Consider the following 19623-nt stretch of genomic DNA (forward strand, 5'->3'; position numbering starts at 1 on the left):
GGAATCAGCTGGCGGTAAATCCAGATGCTAGTCCAGTCCCAGGTCCTATTTCAGCTCACTACCAAATAGAACATTCGCATGTTTACAAAGCTATCACACGTTGCTCACGGGATACACCTAGAAAGCAGTTTCTAAGACATCTGAAGAAGTGCTGCTCCACCTGTGGTAGCCTCGAAGTGAGGACACCCTGGCTCCAGACCACACCCTGGCCTCACACACCCTTCTTTCAAATCACCACAGGGCACAGAAACAGTTCACCCTTTATTTTTGTCAGGCCCTGGGTCACTTGGAGCTGGTGTACTTGGTGACAGCCTTGGTGCCCTCAGACACAGCGTGCTTGGCCAGCTCCCCAGGCAGCAGCAGACGCACAGCCGTCTGGACTTCTCGGGATGTCAGGGTGGTCCGGCCCGAGTACTGGGCCAGCCGGGCAGCCTCACACGCCAGCTGCTCAAACACGTCGTTTACAAACGAGTTCATGATGCTCATGGCCTTGGCAGAGATGCCAATGTCAGGGTGCACCTGGAGAGAGGGCAGCACCACTCGGTTAATGGAAGGGGCCAGGGGAGGGGGGGTCCTGCCTACACTGCAAGCCTCAGCCCTGAGCTGGGGGCTCTAGGAAGCCAGAGGCAGAAGGCAAGGAGGCTCCTCACCAGCCCCTTCCCAGAGGCCAACAGTCATGGAAATAGGGATTTGTGTTTTCTTTGTACTGCTATGGTATATCTAAGTTTTTTAAAAGAAGTTTTCAACTGCAGGAGGTAACATGATTAAGCTCCTTGTATGAGCACACACAAGCATCTGTATTTAACAAATGGGACCAGTTACACATGCATCTTGCTGGTTTCACTGATGCATTTGCATAGTGTTCCACGGTATGGATGTATCATACTTCCTAACACCATTCCTCTCTTCACGAATATTCAGGATTTGGGTTTGGGGTGTTTTTTGTTGTTTTTGCTATTAGATGGTGCTATGGTAAATGCCCATCTTTGAATCTTGTGCGAGCATAGGGAAGGTTATTTCCAGAGGCGGGACTGTAGTGTCAAAACGTTTGTGCATATAACTTGGTGGAGCACATAACCAGTGAGCCTGTCCATGTGACACAGTCGCAGCCCCGGACCAGGGGAGGAGTCCTGTTCTGCAGCTGTACTGTGAATCCCTACGACCTCAAATACGGCCCTTTCCTCTGGGCCTCAGTTTCCTCTTCTGTCACACAAGCTTTTGAACTAAGTGATCTCTACTAAAGCAAATGGGAACTGATGGCAGTTCTAAAATGTGAGTAGGTAGACCTGGTCAGATGTGAAGTGGGAGAGAAGTGACTGTCCCACAACCTACATGGAGTCAGAGATGAAAACAGCACTAGAACCAGGAGGCTCTGTCCCACCCGCCCTCCCTGCCACCTCTGGTCTCCACTGCCAGCAGCAAATCTGCACCTGGCACAAGGCTAGTTCTGCCCAAACCCCCTCTGCTGTCAGCACACCCCGTTCTCCTTAGAGCTCTCACCCAGATCAGGAGGTTGAGGGGTTGGCCCTCAGCAGCACTCTCCTCTGTGAGTACAGGCCTTGTCCCACCCATCAGTTGCAATTTTTGCCCCTCAAAGTCGGGCTAAGACACAAGGCTCAGCGATACCCACTCCTACCCCACCTTCTTCAGGGCACCAGAGTCTGTCCTCTGGTGCATCTCTTCAGCCAACCCATATCAGTGCTGGACCCACCCACCCCCAACCCCACAAGAGCATTCCCAGGCACCCAGGTTGTCAATTCACTAAACCGCTAATGGGATTTGGACTGGAGACAGGCATTACCTCTGGGGCCTGCTCTAACAGAGGGGTAAGAGTTTCAAGCAGGTTGGAGACCCAGGGCGGGCAACACATGGCTACCCCCGCCTCCTCCTGGCCTTGGCCCTGCTGAGCAGCAGCTTTGGATCCTCCAGACAAATTGATTGTCAGTGTTCCAAGTCCTGGGAGTAGCTGCTTTTCGTGCATGAATATAGGGCACCTGCAGCCCCAGTGTGTTGGGGAGACGGACACACAGGAAGGATGCTAGGGGCTTGCCCAGAGCCAGGGGAACTGGGACACTGCCACTGTCAGGCCATGTGATGCAGGAACCCCATGGAGCCTTTAGGGGCCTCAAGCTGTTTGTCTATAAGGTGGACAAACCCTAAGCCCCTCAAAGAACTGAGTGCCACTTGTCCAGAAGACCTTCCCCAAGACTCCAGTTCACCCTGATCACTCCTCTTCTCGGTCACCAACACACTTTGTATCATAATGTGTTTGGCACCTGATCACCTTCAGCCTGGCATAGAAAGTGTGGTCCTCTTGTCCTTTAATTATGTCCCACCTAATCACGTTATCTCATCATCGTTCCCGTAAACTTCTGGAGGGTGGCAGGGAGCACGCTTTGTCTCCTATCACCGGTGCCCAAGATCCTGAGAGAGGTGGAGACCTCAAAAACCAGGTCCCGCCACCTCAAGAGGGGCCAGGCCTGCCTGAGCCACTTGCCCCAGTGCCAACACTAACCTCAAGGTCCCCACTTCCAGCCAGTGCCCTTTCAAGGCGCTTTGTGAGGGCATCCCTCACACACATCCTTGCTATGCACTCACCTGCTTCAGCACCTTGTAGATATACATGGAGTAGGACTCCTTGCGCCGACAGCGCTTTTTGGACTTTTTGTTCCCAGAACTGCGACCCCCACGGCCCCCGGGCTGCTGCCGCTGTCCATACTCAGCGCTCATCCTCCTGCTTCTCGAATAGCCCTCACCCACCCCCTTGGAGCTACTTTTTATCAAGTCAGCTGCCCCACCAGGTGTGGCTGGGGACATGCACCTGGGAGGGGGGGGGGGGGCAGGTGGGAGGTAAGGGGCGTGACTCAATCCCAATCCTGAACATGCTCTGGGCTAACCTTGAAAAGAGACTAATTGTTCCTTCCTCTCCCACAAGTAATCCCTCTGAATTAAGAAACCCTTCACCGGGTCCCCTCCCCCACCCAACCATCTCCCAGTGTATTTACGCACTTCTTAAAAGTTCAGGCAACTCCAGCCCACCAGCCTGTAATCACGGAGCACACAGGTGCCAGCACAGCTCAGAGTGCTGCAGACTCCAGAAGGAATGCAAGCTCCCTCCCCCACTGCGCCCCAGTGGAGGTGAAGAGACAAGACTGGTTCACATCAAACCACCAGAGAAGGGTGAAGGGGCTAAAAGTGGTGGTACCCATGGTGAGGAGGGCTCGAGTAGCTAGAGGCCGCTTCTTGGTACAAATGGGTATATGAAGGGTATCCTTCATATACCCATTGTAGGATGTATCCTTGTAGGATGTATCCTTTAATTGGGAAGAATGAGAGAAAGAAACGGTGTGAAAGGTAGAGTGGAATCAGTGTGAGCGGAGTATAATGAGGCTTGGACTGAAGGCAGATGAGCAAAACGCCTGAGCCTGGACTAGATGCAGATAGCAGAAGCTCCCCAGGTGGTGAAGAGGCTGACAGGGAGGAAGACCACTGGAGGAGGTGAGAAGCAGAAAAGCAATAGGTGCTCACCAGAAAAGCAGACGTGGCGGTCTTGGGAGTTAGCAGTAAAGGGAAGAAAAGCCCATTGCAAAATGGAGAAAGTCAATTGTCTCACTTAGCACCTATGGGGGAACAAATACTTCAGGCCCTTGAATGCTGTGATTAAAGAAACCTGGAGCAATATGAAAGGTATAGGGGCTTGGGGGAAAAGAGGATGTTACAAATTGAGAGGTGGGAGAAGGGTTCCAAAGACCAGCATCACCTGCTGGCTGTGTTAAAGCTAGCAACCCCTCAATCAACTTACCTCTCCACCCAGCTCTGAACGGCTGGCCACATCCTACGGGCTAAGGTTTAAGAGAATTAACAGGCCACTTCTCAATCCAAAACAAGGCACTGCTAATTTTAGAAATATGTATTTTGTGGACTTTTAAAGCATTATTTAAATTACCAAGGTTGACATTTTTCTTGACAAATAAGCTGACTAGACTATTTCCATTCCTCCAGGTTCTGAAGATCTCCTGTCCTAGTATGGAGACTCTGGAGATCCCGAGACTACCTGAATTCTTAGCAATATCCAGCACTTCCTTAAGTATCAAGGGCTCTGTCCCTCACTGTCCCCATTATCCCAGCAGCCCACTCTCCAGATGCCATTCTCCCCTGAACCAAGGCTCTGGACTCTCAGGACAGACTAACCTGGGCCATTTTGCTCCAGGCCCCACTTAAGGCATAAAGCAGTCAAGCCAGTACCCTCTGGGGTCAGAGGACTCCCATCTGTCTCAGCTGCAGTGTCTCACGGGAGGCTCCTGTCCCTGTTGCCCAGGGCAGCTCCTGGACTTTGTGGCCATCTGAGAAGATCCTACTCATTTTTCAAGTGAGAGCACACCAATTCCACCTTTCTGGGCAGCTACTCACAAGAAATTTCCCTCCTTTTTGAATACTTCTGTCTCCTATCTAAATCACAATTTAGCATCTAATTTGTGTCCTGTATGGTTCTGTCTTACTGGCTTTCCAAGAAGATCATGAGCTCCTAAGGGGTTTAAGCACCATCTGGGACAGTTGCTCCCGCCAGTCCTGGCTGTATTATGAGTACTGAAAAATCATGGCTGTGTCTTCCCATAGGGATGGCTGATTTCAGAGGCAGAGTGATGAATCCACACCAGGAAGGATGGCCACTGGTGAAATGCTATTGAAGTTCAAAAGACCCAGATAAGGTATGCAGAGCCCTGGGCTGGAAGTGAATTCAACAGTGATGATAACTATGGCTGTGGACAGGTAAAAATACAAAATTTCCTGTATCCCAATAGGAAGAGAGGTTCACAGACGTTGGTGTGAAAATGCAAACTCCTGGCCATCTCTGCACCTCTCTCATTCTACCAAATGCGATTAATCAATAGGTCTGATGCTCAGCAATCTGAATTTTTTTATTTTTTTGAGACAGTGTCTCGGTCTGTCATCAGGCTGGAGTGTAGCGGCACGCTCTGCTCACTGCAGCCTCAACCTCCTGGGCTCAAGTGAGCCTCCTCTTATCAGAGCAGCTGGGACCGCAGGCACATGCTACTATGCCCGGTTCATTTTATTACTATTTGTAGAGAAGGGGTCTCCCTACTTTGCCCAGGCTGGTCTTGAACTTCTAGGCTCAATTGATCCTCCTACAGTGGCCTCCCAAGGTGATGAGCTTACAGTCGGATTACAGGTGTGAGCCACTGTGCCTGGCCAGTCTGCATTTTTTTGAGACAGGGTTTTGCTCTGTCATCCAGGCTGGAATGCAGTGGTGCAATCTCAGCTCACTGCAACCTCCACCTCCTGGGCTCAAGCGATCCATCCACCCTAGCCACCTGAGCAGGTGGGATTCCAGGCACATAAAGACGGGTTTTGCCATGTTTCCCAAGCTGGTCTTGAACTCCTGAGCTCAAGTGATCCACCTGCCTCAGCCTCCCAAAGCGCTGGGATTACAGGTGTGAGCCACCGCACCTGGCCTGCATTTTTAACAAGCAGCCCAACTGCTGTGCAGTTGGGGCAGAACCTCAGATCACAATCAGAAAACCACGCTCCTGGACAGTGGTTCTCAAAATAGTCTCTAGACCAGCAACAACAGCATCACCTGGAAACTTGCTAGAAATGTTAACGTTCTTGGTCTCCCCCAAAACCTATTGAACCAGAAACGCTGAGGCGAGATCTGGCAATCTGATTGCATGAGCCCTCCAGGTGATTCTGATTCATGTTAAAGTCTGTGAATCACAGGCCTGAGAAAAGGTACAATTTCAAATCAGAAGTAAAGGGACAAAGTTCTTCCAGCTCCTATGGACTAGTCTTCAGTTCCCATCGACACACTGACGCTGGATCCAGCTCCTGCTGTGGGCAGTGCATGTTGGCACTGCAGGGAGGAGAAGGCCCCAGAGACCCGAGAAGGAAGGTAGGGACCGTGGCTTCCTCTTTCTTTATTGGGCGCTTTGTAGATGTCACGCAGGTCTAAAAGTTACACTGCTAAATAATTATTTAAAAACTGACCAGGACGAAGGTCCTGGTCCGGAGCTCCAAACCAGAAGCAAAAAGGAATCGGGGCGGTGGGCTGGGGGGTACTCCTCCAACATCACCAAAACCCAGAAAACGAGGATCCTAAGCTCCTCCGCAGGCCAAATCCAGGGCTTGGGCCCCTGGGCTAACCCGCAGGTGCCTCTGACTGCATCACACTCAGAGTAAGATAACCAGCAAGGGGCTGGAGGGAACGGCCAGCCGAGTCCAGACATGGACAGATGTAACTGGAAGGAGGACAGGAAACAGACAGGTACTGTCCAGCTGTAGGTAAGAGAGTGCAGCTAAGGCAGGTTGAGGGGCAGGGGAGAGGCTGGGGGAGCAGTATTGCAGCAATGCAGGAGTGTAGCCCCAGGGTCCTGTCCTGAGCGGCTGGTCAGGTTAGCAGCTGTTAGTTCCCAGATGGAGCTCCTGACCCGAACCCAGGTAGAGGGCTCACACGTTGTGGGTCCTCTTGGTGAGCTGGGGCTCCTCATCCACCAGCTTGGACTTGAGGTGCTCCTTGTAAGCCAGGATGTCTCCAGGCCACTTGGTGATTGTCTGCTTCTCACAGACCCAAATTTCCTGTGCAACCTAGAAAGCAAAACCTGGACTTAATCCTGGGCTAGTCACTGTCCCTGCCTCTGCCCAGCAGACTGTCCTGAGGGGCGTCTAGGAAGAAAACTCCGCCCCCCAAACCCATATCCAACTCACTGTCTCACTACTTCTAAGTTATTTGGGATGTTCTAACCCAAGGGTACCATCATCAGGTTTGGAGCCTTCCAAGCCAGGAACTGCTGTGTCACTCCTATTGTCAGCTCCCTGGCAGGGCCTAGATCTATTCAGAGGCTTCACTCTCAGCCTTCTTTTCTCCACCTCTCATCTTCCCCAGAGCTTCAGAGGAATGAGCAACAACTTTTTCTCAAATGACTGTGGTAGCTGTCTAATCAAAATCCTCCTTAGAATACTATTTTTGGACTGAAGAATCTTGGGACAGTAGTAAAAGCACCGTTTTCTACCCAACTCTCTTTCCCATTTGGGCCCAAAATGCTAAGTTGGTTGACATCTCCAGATAGCTACTGAAGAAATGAAGTGTTTCAGTTAAGGCTTTCTAAGTAGCCCCAAAGAGGCATAAGAACTGGTCCTCACCACCTGTGTCTACACTCTGAGCCCCTTCTCTTAATTCAGTAGGCGGGTATTATGCACCCTCCACATGCCATGACTACCCTACCCAACCCCCTAGAAGCTCTGCTGTGCCTCACCCCCTGGCCAGGGCCTCACCTGCTGAATGAGTCTGAAGTCATGGCTGACCAGCATCATACCACCCTCAAACTCATTGATGGCATCTGCCAGGGCGTCGATGGTCTCGATATCCAGGTGATTGGTGGGTTCATCCAGGAAGAGCATGTGGGGGTTCTGCCAGGCCAGCCAGGCCAGACACACTCGGCACTTCTGCCCGTCTGACAAGTTCCGGATTGGGCTCACCTGAGTAGAACCGTGACCTACATATAACTTGGCATTATCCCCGCCAAACAGCACAGCTCATCTCTCCCTCATTTCTCCCTGACTCCTCCATTAGCATCGCCATTTATAAAAAGTGAGGCTCAGAGAGACCCACTAGTCTCTTGAGGCCTGAAAGAGACTCATCCGGAAACCTGAAGCCCTTGCCATTACTAAGCCCACACCTCTCGCTCTCTTGGCAATGAATTGGATCCTTCCAGATCTGAATCCAGAAATTTGTTTTCTAGATTACAAGTTCCTTTGCCCTCAAGCACTATGGCACAAGGGCATGTCAGAGACTGGCACGCTATCCTTGCCCCCTCAAAATGCTCCATTACATAACAACCTAGAGTAAAGAAAAGGTAGTAGGTTCTTAGGGGAGTCAAATGGAGGAGACTCTGGTTTGGACAGCTTCCAAACCCAGGCTGCCAGGACAGTATCCCCTGACCCACCCAGCCACAGTCTGCCAGCTATCTGGCATCCTCACCACACCCTCCTTTACTGACCTGTTGTTTCCCAGTGAGACCGTATCGCCCAATGATCTTCCTCATTTCTTCCTTCTCCTTGATCTCTGGGTAGCACTTCATCATGTACTCCAAAGGTGAGAGATCTAAGTCCAGCTGCTCTTGTAAATGCTACAGGAAAAATGGAAGCCACCCGGGTGTGACTGGCATCCCGCTTCAAAATAAACCCTACTAGGTAACTTCCTATTTCTATCCCAGGCACCTGTTCTGGGTTCAAGAAGCAGGTAGGAGCCACCTAGGCTGGAATTCCTGCCAGGGGGTGGGGGCGGCTGGCTGGAACTCAGCCAGATACAGCCCCTCCCTATACCCTGGGCAATTCCCCGGATCCCAACCCCAGGCCTGTACCTGATGGTAACGCCCTATCTTGACATGAGAGTGTTTTCGGATCATGCCATCTGTGGGTAGTAGCTAGGAAGAAAAAAGTAGAAACGTAAGCATGAAACAAAGGAAGCCCAGTTAGAAACATAGGCAGAGCAGGCAAACAAACACATGTTCACACTGAACAAGACTCAACTTCCTAAAAAGAATACATCACCAACTCGCACACTGCTATTCTGGCCACTCTAAAAATATTTAGGAAGATGTACTGAAGCAGATGTTCTCAAGAGGCAAAGATACAATTTAAGTAGTTATAAAATGTCTACTGAATGCACTATGCTGTATAACAAAGGACTTGGATGTAGGTGCAACATACATTTTCTAAAATTAAAAACAGTTAAGTCCTCAAAGTTGTCACTGTCATCGATAGGTTCTTAGAAACAGAACCTATTTTAAAGTTTCACTTTAAGTGAAACAACATATAGCAAAACTAATTTTGCCACAGGCTAACTGATATAAACAAGAATTAGGTTCCTGCAGCATTTTTGGTCACAAAAAAAGATCACCAAACTTCTAAATAAAGATCCAAAGATTCTTTTCTTTAAGAGGGAGTCTCGCTCTGTTGCCCAGGCTGGAGTGCAGTGGCGAGATCTCGACTAACTGCAACTTCTCTGTCCCAGGCTCAAGAGATTCTGGAGTAGCTGGGATTACAGACACCCGCCACCACACCTGGCTAATTTTTTTTTTGCATTTTTAGTAGAGAGGGGGTTTCACCATGTGGCCAGGCTGGTCTCACACTCCTGATCTCAAGTGATCTGCCTGCCTCGGCCTCCCAAAGCACTGGGATTACAGGTGTGAGCCACGGCACCTGGCCAAAAAACCCAGTCACTTCTAATATTCAACATCAAAATACATGTGAGCTATACATACACTTAAGAAAGATTAATAAAAACAAGGTAAGATATTTACCCAATTTTTGGTGAATCAGTGAGTGATGGCAATTTTAAGAGTGGTGGGTTAAACCAAGGAATAAATGTTTGCAAAGGGAAAACTGTAAGGAGCACCTCCTACCACCACACAGTTAAAAAATAATCACGAATGTGGCTGGTTTGCTGACTGCATTTGTATGGTTATCATAAACTTTATGAATTTTTCTTTTACAATATTTTATATTCATTCATTCTATCATTTTCCAACCTGCTTATTCAAGTTTAGGATCATGGGCAGCTGGAGCCCATCCCACAACCCAGGGAACAAGACAAGAACCAGCCCTGAAGAGGACACCATTCCATTATAGGATGCACTCACACACCCGCACTCATTCAGACTGGAACCACTGAGACGTTCCAAGTAACCTGACAGGTGCAGCTTTGGAATTGGGAAGAAACTGAAGTACCAGAGAAAACCCATGTAGACGTTAAAGGGAAAGTGCAAACTCCACAAAGACAGTGGCCCCAGCTGGGAATCATTTCTATTTTTCATCAATATTAATGAAATGACATTACTTGAGAACCTGCAGCATCCCTAAATGCACAGATGTTCCTATATTCTAAATGCTCTGATTGAAAATAGAAACATGGGCCAGACGCGGTGGCTCACGCCTGTAATCCCAGCACTTTGGGAGGCCGAGGTGGGCAGATCATGAGGTCAGGAGTTCAAGACCAGCCTAATGAACATGGTGAAACCCCATCTCTACTAAAATACAAAAAAATTAGCTGTGGCGTGTGCCTGTAATCCCAGCTACTTGGGAGGCTGAGGCAGGAGAATTGCTTGAACTCGGGGGATGAAGGTTGCGGTGAGCTGAGATCGCACATTGCACTCCAGCCTGGGCAACAGAGCGAGACTCCACCTCAAAAAAAAAAAAAGAAAATAGAAACGTGCTTAAACACATACATGTATTCACACACACACTCTAAGACTCCTCCCTACCTATCCCTGTCCCAGGAAAACAGCCCCCAGCCTCAGCACTGTCCAACCAGACATTCCCCCTCTCCTGGCTGCTGCTCCACCCCTCCAGATGGCTCACTCACCACCAGGGTACTCAGGCCCTCCCAAAGTAGTAGCCCCTGCATCACTCCCCTCTTCCTTAACCATCGCAAGGCCTAATCTTAGAGGGATCCACGCCCACCTTGGCACCATACCTCTCCAGTTAGCAGCTTCAGAAGAGTTGACTTCCCTGCTCCATTGGGCCCTACCAGAGCCACTCGTGTGTCAAGGTCAATTCCAAATTCTAGATTATTGTAGATGCAAGGCTGAGGTGGGGATGAGAGAGATGTGGACACAAGGCTAGAATACAGATCTGCTATGACCAGCAGACCAAGCCCGCTGAATTCCCAGTCACCAAGAGAGGAGGAAGGGAGAGTAGCGGGAGGAAGCACTCATAGCAGACCCCGCCTCGCCCACTGCCTCCGCCCACCAACCCAGCTGAGTAGTCTTCTTTCCATATACACGAAGAAAGGCCCGCGAGCAGCCTTGGATGAGGCACCCCAGCTGCCACACCTGAAAATCCCCCAGAGCACGTGGGCTAGCAGGTGTGGTCAGCACAGAACAGGAGCAACTCCCATGAGCTGCCACTCACCCTAAGATACACCCCAGCCACCCATGCCCTGCCCTGAACTTACCCCATCTTTTGTATACTTGAAGCTCACATTTTGCACCATAATGACAGGTGGAGGGATCTTGCCACATGGTGGGAAATAAAATGACAGTGTCTAGGAAGAAAAGAGGGCATTTATCAAGTTGGCTCCTTTCTTATCCACCTCACCTTAGGCCACCCAACCCCACCCAATCACACCCCACCCAATCACACCCCACCTTATCGCTCACGACCCTCTCTGTCAGTCCTGATGCCATCATTTTCTGTAGCGTCTTCTCCTTGCTCTGGGCCTGCCGGGCCAGCTTGGCACTGCCATGACCAAACCTCGCAATGTAGTTCTAAAAAAGACCAAAGAGAGCTTGGAGTATGTGCAGGCGCTCAACAATTCATCTTCAATCCAGGGTAAAAATGTTGATCGTAACTTCTTCCCGACATCCTCCATCACTACCGCTTCTCGAAATGCCCTCATCCGAGCCCCCTGCTTCTTTCAGACAGGAGGCCATGAGCCTGACTCTGCAGTCTCCCTACCTTCATGTGTGCAATCTGATCTTGCTCCCAGTGAAACCTCTTCATCTGGTTCTCCTCCAGCTCTAGCCGCGTCTTCACGTACTGATCATAATTACCCTGCATGGAAATGTGCCAGGTAAGGCAGGCAGCTTTAACCTGGGTTTCAATCCTGGATTCTCACTCAGAGTTTAGGGGGATGAGGGATGGCACTAACTTGGCCCTGGCTCTAAGGCTGTGCAGTAAGAAGAGAGGACGTGCATTACAGAAGCATATCCTAACATCAAATCGGAGTCTTTTCAATTCTATGCCCCTCGCTCAGCCCAGCCAGGGCCAGGCTCCAGCGCAAATCCTTAGGTTAGCTAGAAAGACACCTGTGGCACTGGGAATAGTCCTGAAAATCACGGTCATACGGACGTCACGAGGCTCAGAGCCTTCCAATACCACCTCCTATTCCTTCCCCGTTCCCTAGAGGCTGAAGCCCCACAAAAGACTGCAAGAGCTGTCTCCAGAGGGGAAAACAGACCATTCAGATTTAGAAGCTGACAAACCCTGCATAAGTGGACTACCATGGTTTCTATCTGCAAACAAAAACTGGACTCAAGCTAAATATCCACCAGAAAGGGCCTAACAAGTTACAGGATAAACACATAACGAAATACTATGCAGTGACTGAAAAGATTGTGATTGATTTATATATACTCACATGGAAAGCAGTCCAAAATATACTAAATTTAAAAAAGCAACCTACAGAATGATTATTAAAATTGTAACTGTGGCCAGGTGCAGTGGCTCACACCTGTAATTCCAGCACTTTGGGAGGCTGAGGTGGGTGGATCACTTGAGGCCAGGAGTTTGACAGCAGCCTAGCCAACATGGCGAAACCCCGTCTCTACTAAAAATATAAAAATTAGCTGGGTATGGTGGCATGTGCCTGTGGTCTCAGCTACTTGGGAGGGTGAGGTGGGAGGATCGCTTGAACCTGGGAGGCAGAAGTTGCAGTGAGCCAATATCACGCCACTGGACTCCAGCCTGGGTGACAGAGACAGACCCCATCTCGAGAAAAAAGAGGCCGGGTGCGGTGGCTCACGCCTGTAATCCCAGCACTTTGGGAGGCCGAGGCAGGCGGATCATGAGGTCAAGAGAGGGAGACCATCCTGGCCAATATGGTGAACCCCATCTCTACTAAAAATACAAAAATTAGCTGGGTGTGGTGGCATGCGCCTGTAGTCCCAGCTACTCAGGAAGCCGAGGCAGGAGAGTCCCTTGAACCTGGGAGGTGGAGGTTGCAGTGAGCCCAGATCGCGCCACTGCACTCCAGCCTGGCGACGGAGCAAGACTCCAGCTCAAAAAAAAAAAAAAAAAAAAGCTGCAATTGTATAAAAAGAAAAAGATTACGTATACATGACATTTTCTACAAATGTGTGCAAGTATACATGAAGTTTCTGGAAGGCTATATTATAAACTAATACTCCTATGACTATGAATGAAGAGGACATCAATCGTTAGTTTCTTACATGCTTTTTGAAATATAAAATGAAAAGGCAAGGCACAACAGTGGGCTATTGAGATCCTGACCCCCATTCTCCTGTGGTCATGGGAGGTGGGGTAAATGTGTAGACTCCAGTGAAGCAGAATTAAGAAGGCATTCAAGAAGGCAGAGGGAGGCCTCGTGTGGTGGCTCATGCCTGTTATCCCAGCACTTTGGGAGGCTGAGGAGGGCAGATCACCTGAAGTCAAGAGTTCAAGACCAGCCTGGCCAACATGGCAAAATCCCGTCTCTACTAAAAATACAAAAACTAGCCAGACATGGCAGTGCATGCCTGTAGTCCCAGCTACTCAGAAGGCTGAGGTACAAGAATCGCTTGAATTCAGGAAGTAGAGGTTGCAGTGAGCTGAGATCATGCCAGCCTGGGTGACGGAATGAGATTCTGTTTCCAGAAAAAAAGAGGCAAGGCAGATGAGAGCAGGGCCTGCCTGGTCACCGTGAAAAGTCAACTTCTTTGCCACAAGGCAAACATACACCTTGTGTGCACAGGCTGCCAATCCATGGCCTATGGCCTGAAAGCAATGACTTTGGGATTAAAATAAAACAGGTGGTAGGACTCCTTGTCCATATCTTTTTATAGCAATAGGTAGAAAGGAGCTAATAGATAGGTCTGCTTTTTTTTTTTTTTTGAGATGGAGTCTTGCTCTGTCACCCAGGCTGGAGTGCAGTGGTGTGATCTCAGCTCACTGCAACCTCCGCCTCCAGGGTTCAAGTGATTCTCCTGCCTCAGCTTCCCAAGTAGCTGGGACTACAGGCACCTGCCACCACGCCTGGCTAATTTTTTTGTATTTTTAGTAGAGACAGGGTTTCACCATATTGGCCAGGCTGGTCTCAAACTCCTGACCTCAAGTGACCCACCCACCTCGGCCTCCCAAAGTGCTGGGATTACAGGCATGAGCCACCACACCAGCCTTTTTTTTTTTTTTTAAAGAGAATTTCAGAGAATTGGTATGCACAGAGATTACCAGAAGAAGCCGAGGCCCACTCACCGTATAATACTTCAGTTTCTTGTTGTGCATGTGAATGATATTGGTACAGACACCATTCAGAAAATCCTGGGAATGGGAGACGAGGACCAAGATGCGCTTAAAACTGTAAAGCCAAAGAACCAATTAGTGAAGAGCTCAACCATGGGAGCTAGCTGACAACAGGTGAACTGAAAGTCAGGCCCATCCTCATCCCTAAGCACCTTTTAGATGTGTTGTCCAATTCCTGGCTGTTAGCAAGCACCTAAGCCACGACTCGACAATCTAACTGTAAGGGTATTTGGACGCCTTTCAGTGTGGCGAGACAGCCTGAGTTTCCTCAATCTTCTGTTCTAATTTTCAACAGAATGGGATGGAGACGGTAGTAACAGTGATAGTAACCAGAAGTGTGTATGTACACAAATACACCCACGAATGTATCCAAAACTGTGGGTGGGAAGAACTGGTACAGACACAATAAAAAACAAAATGCTTTACTTTTTGAAAGAAGGTACTAAGTCATCGTACCACTAAAAGCCTTCTTTTAAAATTGGTACAATATTCCAGCTTATTCAGTTCTTTAGCTGTAGGACCATGACCATATTGGCTATATTTTCCTTTGTCACTGCATCATGATCTTAGATGGAAGACCTCTTTTTAGCTTTATACAATTAAGAAAAAAAATATATCTTTAATTAAGATCTTGAATTTGAAATATGGACAAAACCAACAAGGATTTTTTTTAAAAAAAAAAGCTCATAAATTTCAAACTAAAGAAAAACAATCAAAATAAAAGGCCAGCCTTCAACAGCCCTAAAGGTGCTCACTGCTTGTCCAAGAAAGTGAACTCTGTCCTTCCTTCAGTTCCTTTCTCACCGCTCTAACATCAGTGCAGTTTCTGGGCATCCATTTTCTAGATTCCCCCTTTGGGACCTGCCCGCTCACATCCCCCATTCCACCCTCTTACGTTTTTAGTTCTTCTTCCAACCACACGCAAGCATCTAGGTCCAGGTGGTTGGTAGGCTCATCCAGGAGCAGCATGAAGGGCCGAATAAAGAGGGCTCTGAAGGACGGTAAAGGAGACAGAAGCACCTCAGAATTATAATGGATGTGACACAGGACGGGACAAACTTGCCTGCTACATGCAATTCTGAGTAGGCTCCTGGCTTGAGTCTTGAAATCAATTTTAGGCTCTATACCTCAGAGGGAAAAGGAGAAGCAGGACAGAAACAAGAGTCGAAGAGAAGAGATTGAAGAGTAGAATACGGGGCTCAGAAGCATATAAGGACAGTTCGAGGCAAGGCTGTAGAAGTCTTTATGAGTTTATGAGCCTTGTGCACTGAAGTTGGAGACTACGGAGAAGACAAAAAAATACAGAGGAAATAAACTGCTAAAACAAATTAGACCTATCTGAAGGTCTGAAGATAGACCTATCTTGTGGGGTGGCCAGAGTCTAGCGAGGGATAGACTCTAAAGCTCTGGTTCCCAAACCAGAAATCTGTGTTTTTAAAAGCTCCTTGGGTGAACCGGAGGCAGCTAATCCTTGCTAGCATGTGGAACCACTGTGCTTATACTCTAAGGCACATGCAGGCAACTTTCTAGAGAAGTATATCAAGTCTTATAAATTCCCTTCACAGAGAATGATGGGGCAAGGAATTACCTGTTTAGTGACTCTGGGGGGATTATTGGGGGAATGCTGGTCTATGGAAACTCACTTTGAGTCCAGGCCACAAGAGAATAAGAACGACAGCTATCATAATAGCCGTCTAACATTTTATCTTTACAGCTGGAATTAGCAGGACTAGAGTACAAAAAGGGTGGAAAGGGAATCCTGGTGGGAGGACAGAAACAGACCTACTCCACCGTTTTACCTAGGACTACCCCTAGGATCTCTAAACTCTGTGCTGGGTGCTAAGAATCCAATAGAAAACTGAGTCACTCTACCACTTCAGCCAGGAAGCTCTCTCTCTAGCCCATACACAACAACCCCCTCCACACTGCAGATGTCCATGTCTCATTTGACACTTACCACTGACTCCTGTTCCAAACAGTTCCACTGGAGTGAACACTAAACACTGGAGAGATGGGGGAGTTATGGGGGTAGGGAAGGAGGGAGGGACTCACCTGGCAAGGGCAACCCTCATCCTCCAGCCCCCACTGAAGTCTTTTAGCTTCTTGCGCTGCATGGCAGGTGTGAAACCCAGTCCATGCAAGATCCGCGAGGCCCTCATCTCTGCCTTGTCGGCATCCAGCTCCTCCAGGCGCTCGTAGAGCTCCATGAGCTTCTCACACTCCGCTGTGGACAGTGTATGGCCATGAGGCTCCTGGGGGCCTTTCTGGGAGGACGCCCACCCCTATGCCCAGGTCTGGAGCCCTACCATCCTCATGAGCCAGCCGCTCTGCCTCTTTCTCCAGCATGGCCCGCTCTGTGTCGACTTCCATCACACAATGCAAGGGTGTCTTGTCACTAGGGGGCATCTCTCGAGTCAGATGGTAGATGTCGATGTGCTCAGGGATGGGCACTTCACGCTTCCCAATAGCAGAGAGCAGCATGGACTTTCCTGAGAGGGGAGAGCAGCAGACGCTTGGTACAGTGAACTCCCCTATCCCTCTTCACCACTAGTTCTTCCACCCCAGTCAAACTGGGACCTCATCCATTTTTTTTTTTTTGAGGACCTTTCTTCCCTTCATTCGTTCAAATCTTGCCAGCCCCCATTCTTGGGATTCCTTTCTAACTTTCCTCCAATTCTTGCCCCACCCCTTATCTGAAGCTTTTTTCACTTACCACAGCTTCACACGCCCCTGACCAACTTCTCCAGCACCTGCTGTAACTAATCATGTGGTACAGGGTGGACGCACCCTAATCTGAAAATCCAAAATGCTCCAAAATCCAAAACCTTTTAAGTGCTCACATGATGCTTAAAGGAAATGCTCACTGGAGAATTTCAGGTTTTTGGATTAGGGATGCTCAGCCGGTAAGTATAATGCAAATATTCCAAGATCCGAAACACTTCTGGTTCCAAGCATTTCAGATAAGGGATACTCAACCTGTACATAACACATACTGCTCTGCGTTGCTAGTTCCTTTCCCCTGGACATAATCTGGTCTCCCATCCCTATTCTAAATGCTTTGCTCTGAACACAGTTGATGCTAAATAAATGCTTGTGAGTGACAGATGAGCTAAGGAGAGATACCTCCCACCTCCCCTTCCAAGGCCTCACCAATTCCATTTAAACCAATGAGGCCATAACGACGGCCTGAGTTTAATTCCAGTTTGGTGTCACTGAGCAGCTCTTGACCATGAAAGGTAAGTGAGAGGTTGATGATGTGAACATCAGTACTGTTGGGGTGAGAGGCCAGGACGCCAGTGACAGCTCGAGCAGCAGCTTTCTTCATCTCAAAGTCCTCTAGCTCCTTGGTCAGCAAATCTACTTCTGCGGATAGAAAAGCAGTTTGGGAAGATGGCGTGAGACAGACTCGGCTCTCCACAAAGGTCAACGTCCTGAAGGACCAGGCTCCAATCCTGCTGAGCACTCAGATGTTTCCCAAACTTTACAGAGTGCACAATGACACAGAGCTGCCCCGACACCCTGCTTTCCTTTGTTTTGTCCTCCCATATCTGTTTACTTACTCCCATCACTCTTAACTTCTGTCCTCCACTACTGTGGCCAGGAATAAAACTTCCCCACAGCCTGACTTTATTGCTCTTTCTAATTGCTTTCTAAGTCCCCCTTTTCTGAACGCCTATCTGTTACAACTTGCAGACTAATTCTCCTTTCCTCTTCAAACATTTACTTAGTGTCTACCTGAGAAGCAAGTCATAAAAAAAACCCAAGACAGGGTCCTTGCACTCAAAGATGAAACAATTTAGACAAAGAAACAGGAGATACAACATAAAAAGGTAAGTAACACTAAAAGACAGCAAAAGGGTATAGAGAATGGAAATACTGTGGTCAGGTTTGACTGAGAGACGCTTCATTATCTTGAGCTGGGCCTTGACAGAAATGTCAAATGTAGCTAGCAAAAACATGATGGTATTATAATTCAGTGTGTGAAAGGACAGAGATGTGGTGACTATCCAAGAGATAATAAATAGTCTGGATGGAGCAGAAGGCTGTTTAGGGAGTTTTCAGGGGGCAGGGAAGAGGGCTGGGATTGGACTGCCAAGGGCCTGGAATAGTCTTTACCGCATATGGCCATGTTTCCCAGTCTAGACGGTAAGTTTTTGGAGGGAAGACGGTAGTGCCTCAGTGTATAGCACCATGTCTAGCACTTGAGAAATAATAAATATTTCCCAAAATATAAATAACAGAAAGGGAGCTCTCTCCCAGGAAAAACCCCATAAATCAACTCATAAGTTACTCTCTTGTAGGTAGAGCCACTACACCAGTGAGAGGACAAGCTTATTGTATAATGTAGCAAAGAACCTGGCACATTGGTCACCATGCATAGAAATGGAAACTGAGAAAGGGGCAGGGAACTGATCCCCTCCTCACAATCTAATAGAGCAGCAAGGCAGCTCAGCAACTCTCACATCCGCTTGCCACTGAGTATGTGAGAACCTCGTCTTCGGCTTCCTTGCGCAATGACAGGGTGGCACGAATTCCAACTCTACTGATTTGATTCATCATGAAAAGTTGCATGACACCAGATACATTCTCCACTACCCCCAGCATCAAGATTCCAACTCTGGCTGGGGCATGCATTAAGTCTTAGCAACCATCCCCAACTCACCCCTCCCTCAATTCACCTGTGGTCTCTCTGCCATTGGCCTCATTCTTCTCTGCCACCTGTGGTTCTGTGACAACATCTCCATTTTCTTCATGTCCTTTTCTGGGCCGCTGTCGAGCTTTGGCAGCCTCCTTCTTTTTGGCTGCCTTCTTCTTGGCCAGGTCGGAGGGCATGATGATGACCCACAGGGGTAGGTTACTGTTGTTTCAGGGAGCCTGAAGGAAGGCAAACAGATACCCCCAAACCCTAAACTTACTAGTAAGAATGCCTGGGCCCTGCTCCATCCCTCTCAGGAATCTTCGTATCAACATCAAGCCTCTGATGCCCTGGCCTGCCCCCGCCTCGTCTGTTCCAACTTGGTCAGGGTATCCCAAACCAATGCCGATTCTCAGCGGCTCTTCTAATCTTAACATCTCTTCCCACAGGCACCAGTCCCCCACGGACTGCCTCACTTTGGAAACGCTCCTTCTTTCAGGGCCTCCGGCTGGGGACCAGGTTCTGCCCCTCAGCGGAGGTCTCCGTCTCCGGTTTCCCTACAACTTGGCGCTCCGCACTCAGCTAGCCGCCTCACTTTCCGGGCTTCCTCCTCCCGTCCGTCTCGGGCCTCTTCTCGATCGTCCCTCTCCACATCACCCGGCCGTCGAGCCCAGCCTCTTGCCGGGACGCACTCGTCCTCGCCCGCGTGAGTCCCCTCCGAGTCTCCACGCTCGTCACCCCCGGGTCCTCCCCCACCCCGCCCGTCAGCTTCTCTCCCTTAGCCCTATCTTCCCCCTCGCAGAGCCCTCCATCCAAACCCCGTCCCTGCTTCCTCTTCTAATTCTCTTTCCCCCTCACCGGCGGGGACCCTCTCCCTACAGCTCCCCTTCCCCTAACTCACTGGGCCTCGCTGCTCGGCCTATGTCGCAACAGAGCTGCTCCTTAGGATC

General features: G+C 49.2%; 3 protein-coding genes across 4 annotated transcripts, besides 4 other annotated features; all 3 read right to left on the bottom strand.

Annotated features, from left to right (window-relative positions):
- Positions 1-248: 248 nt before the first annotated feature.
- On the bottom strand, positions 249-2900 carry H2BK1 (H2B.K variant histone 1). Its single transcript, NM_001369125.3, has 2 exons — positions 2599-2900; positions 249-519 (listed from the first exon to the last, which is right to left on the bottom strand). Exons 1-2 carry the CDS (start codon positions 2728-2730, stop codon positions 283-285), a joined length of 369 nt encoding a protein of 122 aa, NP_001356054.2. The 5' UTR covers positions 2731-2900; the 3' UTR covers positions 249-282.
- Positions 249-19617, bottom strand: ABCF2-H2BK1 (ABCF2-H2BK1 readthrough). 2 transcript variants are annotated; one of them, NR_160983.1, is made up of 17 exons: positions 19575-19617; positions 18717-18912; positions 17188-17400; positions 16344-16526; positions 16090-16261; positions 14933-15028; positions 13990-14092; positions 11476-11571; positions 11166-11285; positions 10973-11062; positions 10493-10603; positions 8379-8441; positions 8016-8144; positions 7291-7494; positions 6470-6603; positions 3529-3620; positions 249-519 (listed from the first exon to the last, which is right to left on the bottom strand). NR_160983.1 is itself a non-coding variant. In NM_005692.5 (16 exons), exons 2-16 carry the CDS (start codon positions 18868-18870, stop codon positions 483-485), a joined length of 1905 nt encoding a protein of 634 aa, NP_005683.2. In that variant the 5' UTR covers positions 18871-18912; positions 19575-19617; the 3' UTR covers positions 249-482. The 2 variants fall into 2 exon arrangements, 1 of the variants encoding a protein (NP_005683.2); NM_005692.5 differs by lacking the exon at positions 3529-3620.
- ABCF2 (ATP binding cassette subfamily F member 2) lies at positions 3896-19617 on the bottom strand. Its single transcript, NM_007189.3, has 15 exons — positions 19575-19617; positions 18717-18912; positions 17188-17400; positions 16344-16526; positions 16090-16261; positions 14933-15028; positions 13990-14092; positions 11476-11571; positions 11166-11285; positions 10973-11062; positions 10493-10603; positions 8379-8441; positions 8016-8144; positions 7291-7494; positions 3896-6603 (listed from the first exon to the last, which is right to left on the bottom strand). Exons 2-15 carry the CDS (start codon positions 18868-18870, stop codon positions 6466-6468), a joined length of 1872 nt encoding a protein of 623 aa, NP_009120.1. The 5' UTR covers positions 18871-18912; positions 19575-19617; the 3' UTR covers positions 3896-6465.
- Positions 6301-7500: an enhancer, noted in NCBI's record as "CDK7 strongly-dependent group 2 enhancer chr7:150910975-150912174 (GRCh37/hg19 assembly coordinates)". NCBI's record gives its function as "activates an origin of replication core promoter dependent on BRD2, BRD4, P300/CBP, MED14 and CDK7 cofactors, with strong dependence on CDK7, by STARR-seq in HCT116 cells {active_cell/tissue: HCT116}" and the evidence as "EXISTENCE:reporter gene assay evidence [ECO:0000049][PMID:35650434]".
- Positions 11599-11796: a silencer, noted in NCBI's record as "fragment chr7:150916273-150916470 (GRCh37/hg19 assembly coordinates)". NCBI's record gives its function as "represses an EF-1alpha promoter that drives an FKBP-Casp9 reporter gene in an ReSE screen in HepG2 liver carcinoma cells {active_cell/tissue: HepG2}" and the evidence as "EXISTENCE:reporter gene assay evidence [ECO:0000049][PMID:32094911]".
- Positions 19394-19453: a silencer, noted in NCBI's record as "silent region_18805". NCBI's record gives its function as "represses an Ori minimal core promoter by ATAC-STARR-seq in GM12878 lymphoblastoid cells {active_cell/tissue: GM12878}" and the evidence as "EXISTENCE:reporter gene assay evidence [ECO:0000049][PMID:35858748]".
- Positions 19554-19603: an enhancer, noted in NCBI's record as "active region_26853". NCBI's record gives its function as "activates an Ori minimal core promoter by ATAC-STARR-seq in GM12878 lymphoblastoid cells {active_cell/tissue: GM12878}" and the evidence as "EXISTENCE:reporter gene assay evidence [ECO:0000049][PMID:35858748]".

Source organism: Homo sapiens, chromosome 7 (genome assembly GCF_000001405.40).
Source record: "Homo sapiens chromosome 7, GRCh38.p14 Primary Assembly".
Taxonomy (NCBI): domain Eukaryota; kingdom Metazoa; phylum Chordata; class Mammalia; order Primates; family Hominidae; genus Homo; species Homo sapiens.

Coding starts and splice junctions, on each gene's coding strand:
- H2BK1 (NM_001369125.3), bottom strand. CDS start 2,730: ATGAGCGCTGAGTATGGACAGCGGCAGCAGCCCGGGGGCCGTGGGGGT. Junction 520..2,598: donor TCTACAAGGTGCTGAAGCAG/GTGAGTGCATAG, acceptor CCCTCTCTCCAG/GTGCACCCTGACATTGGCAT.
- ABCF2 (NM_007189.3), bottom strand. CDS start 18,870: ATGCCCTCCGACCTGGCCAAGAAGAAGGCAGCCAAAAAGAAGGAGGCT. Junction 11,286..11,475: donor ATCAGATTGCACACATGAAG/GTAGGGAGACTG, acceptor GGTCTTTTTTAG/AACTACATTGCGAGGTTTGG. Junction 10,604..10,972: donor TCAAGTATACAAAAGATGGG/GTAAGTTCAGGG, acceptor TCCCCACCTCAG/CCTTGCATCTACAATAATCT.
- ABCF2-H2BK1 (NM_005692.5), bottom strand. CDS start 18,870: ATGCCCTCCGACCTGGCCAAGAAGAAGGCAGCCAAAAAGAAGGAGGCT. Junction 14,093..14,932: donor TTGGAAGAAGAACTAAAAAC/GTAAGAGGGTGG, acceptor TTGGCTTTACAG/TTTTAAGCGCATCTTGGTCC. Junction 8,442..10,492: donor TGAAGCTGCTAACTGGAGAG/GTATGGTGCCAA, acceptor TTTTCTTCCTAG/CTACTACCCACAGATGGCAT.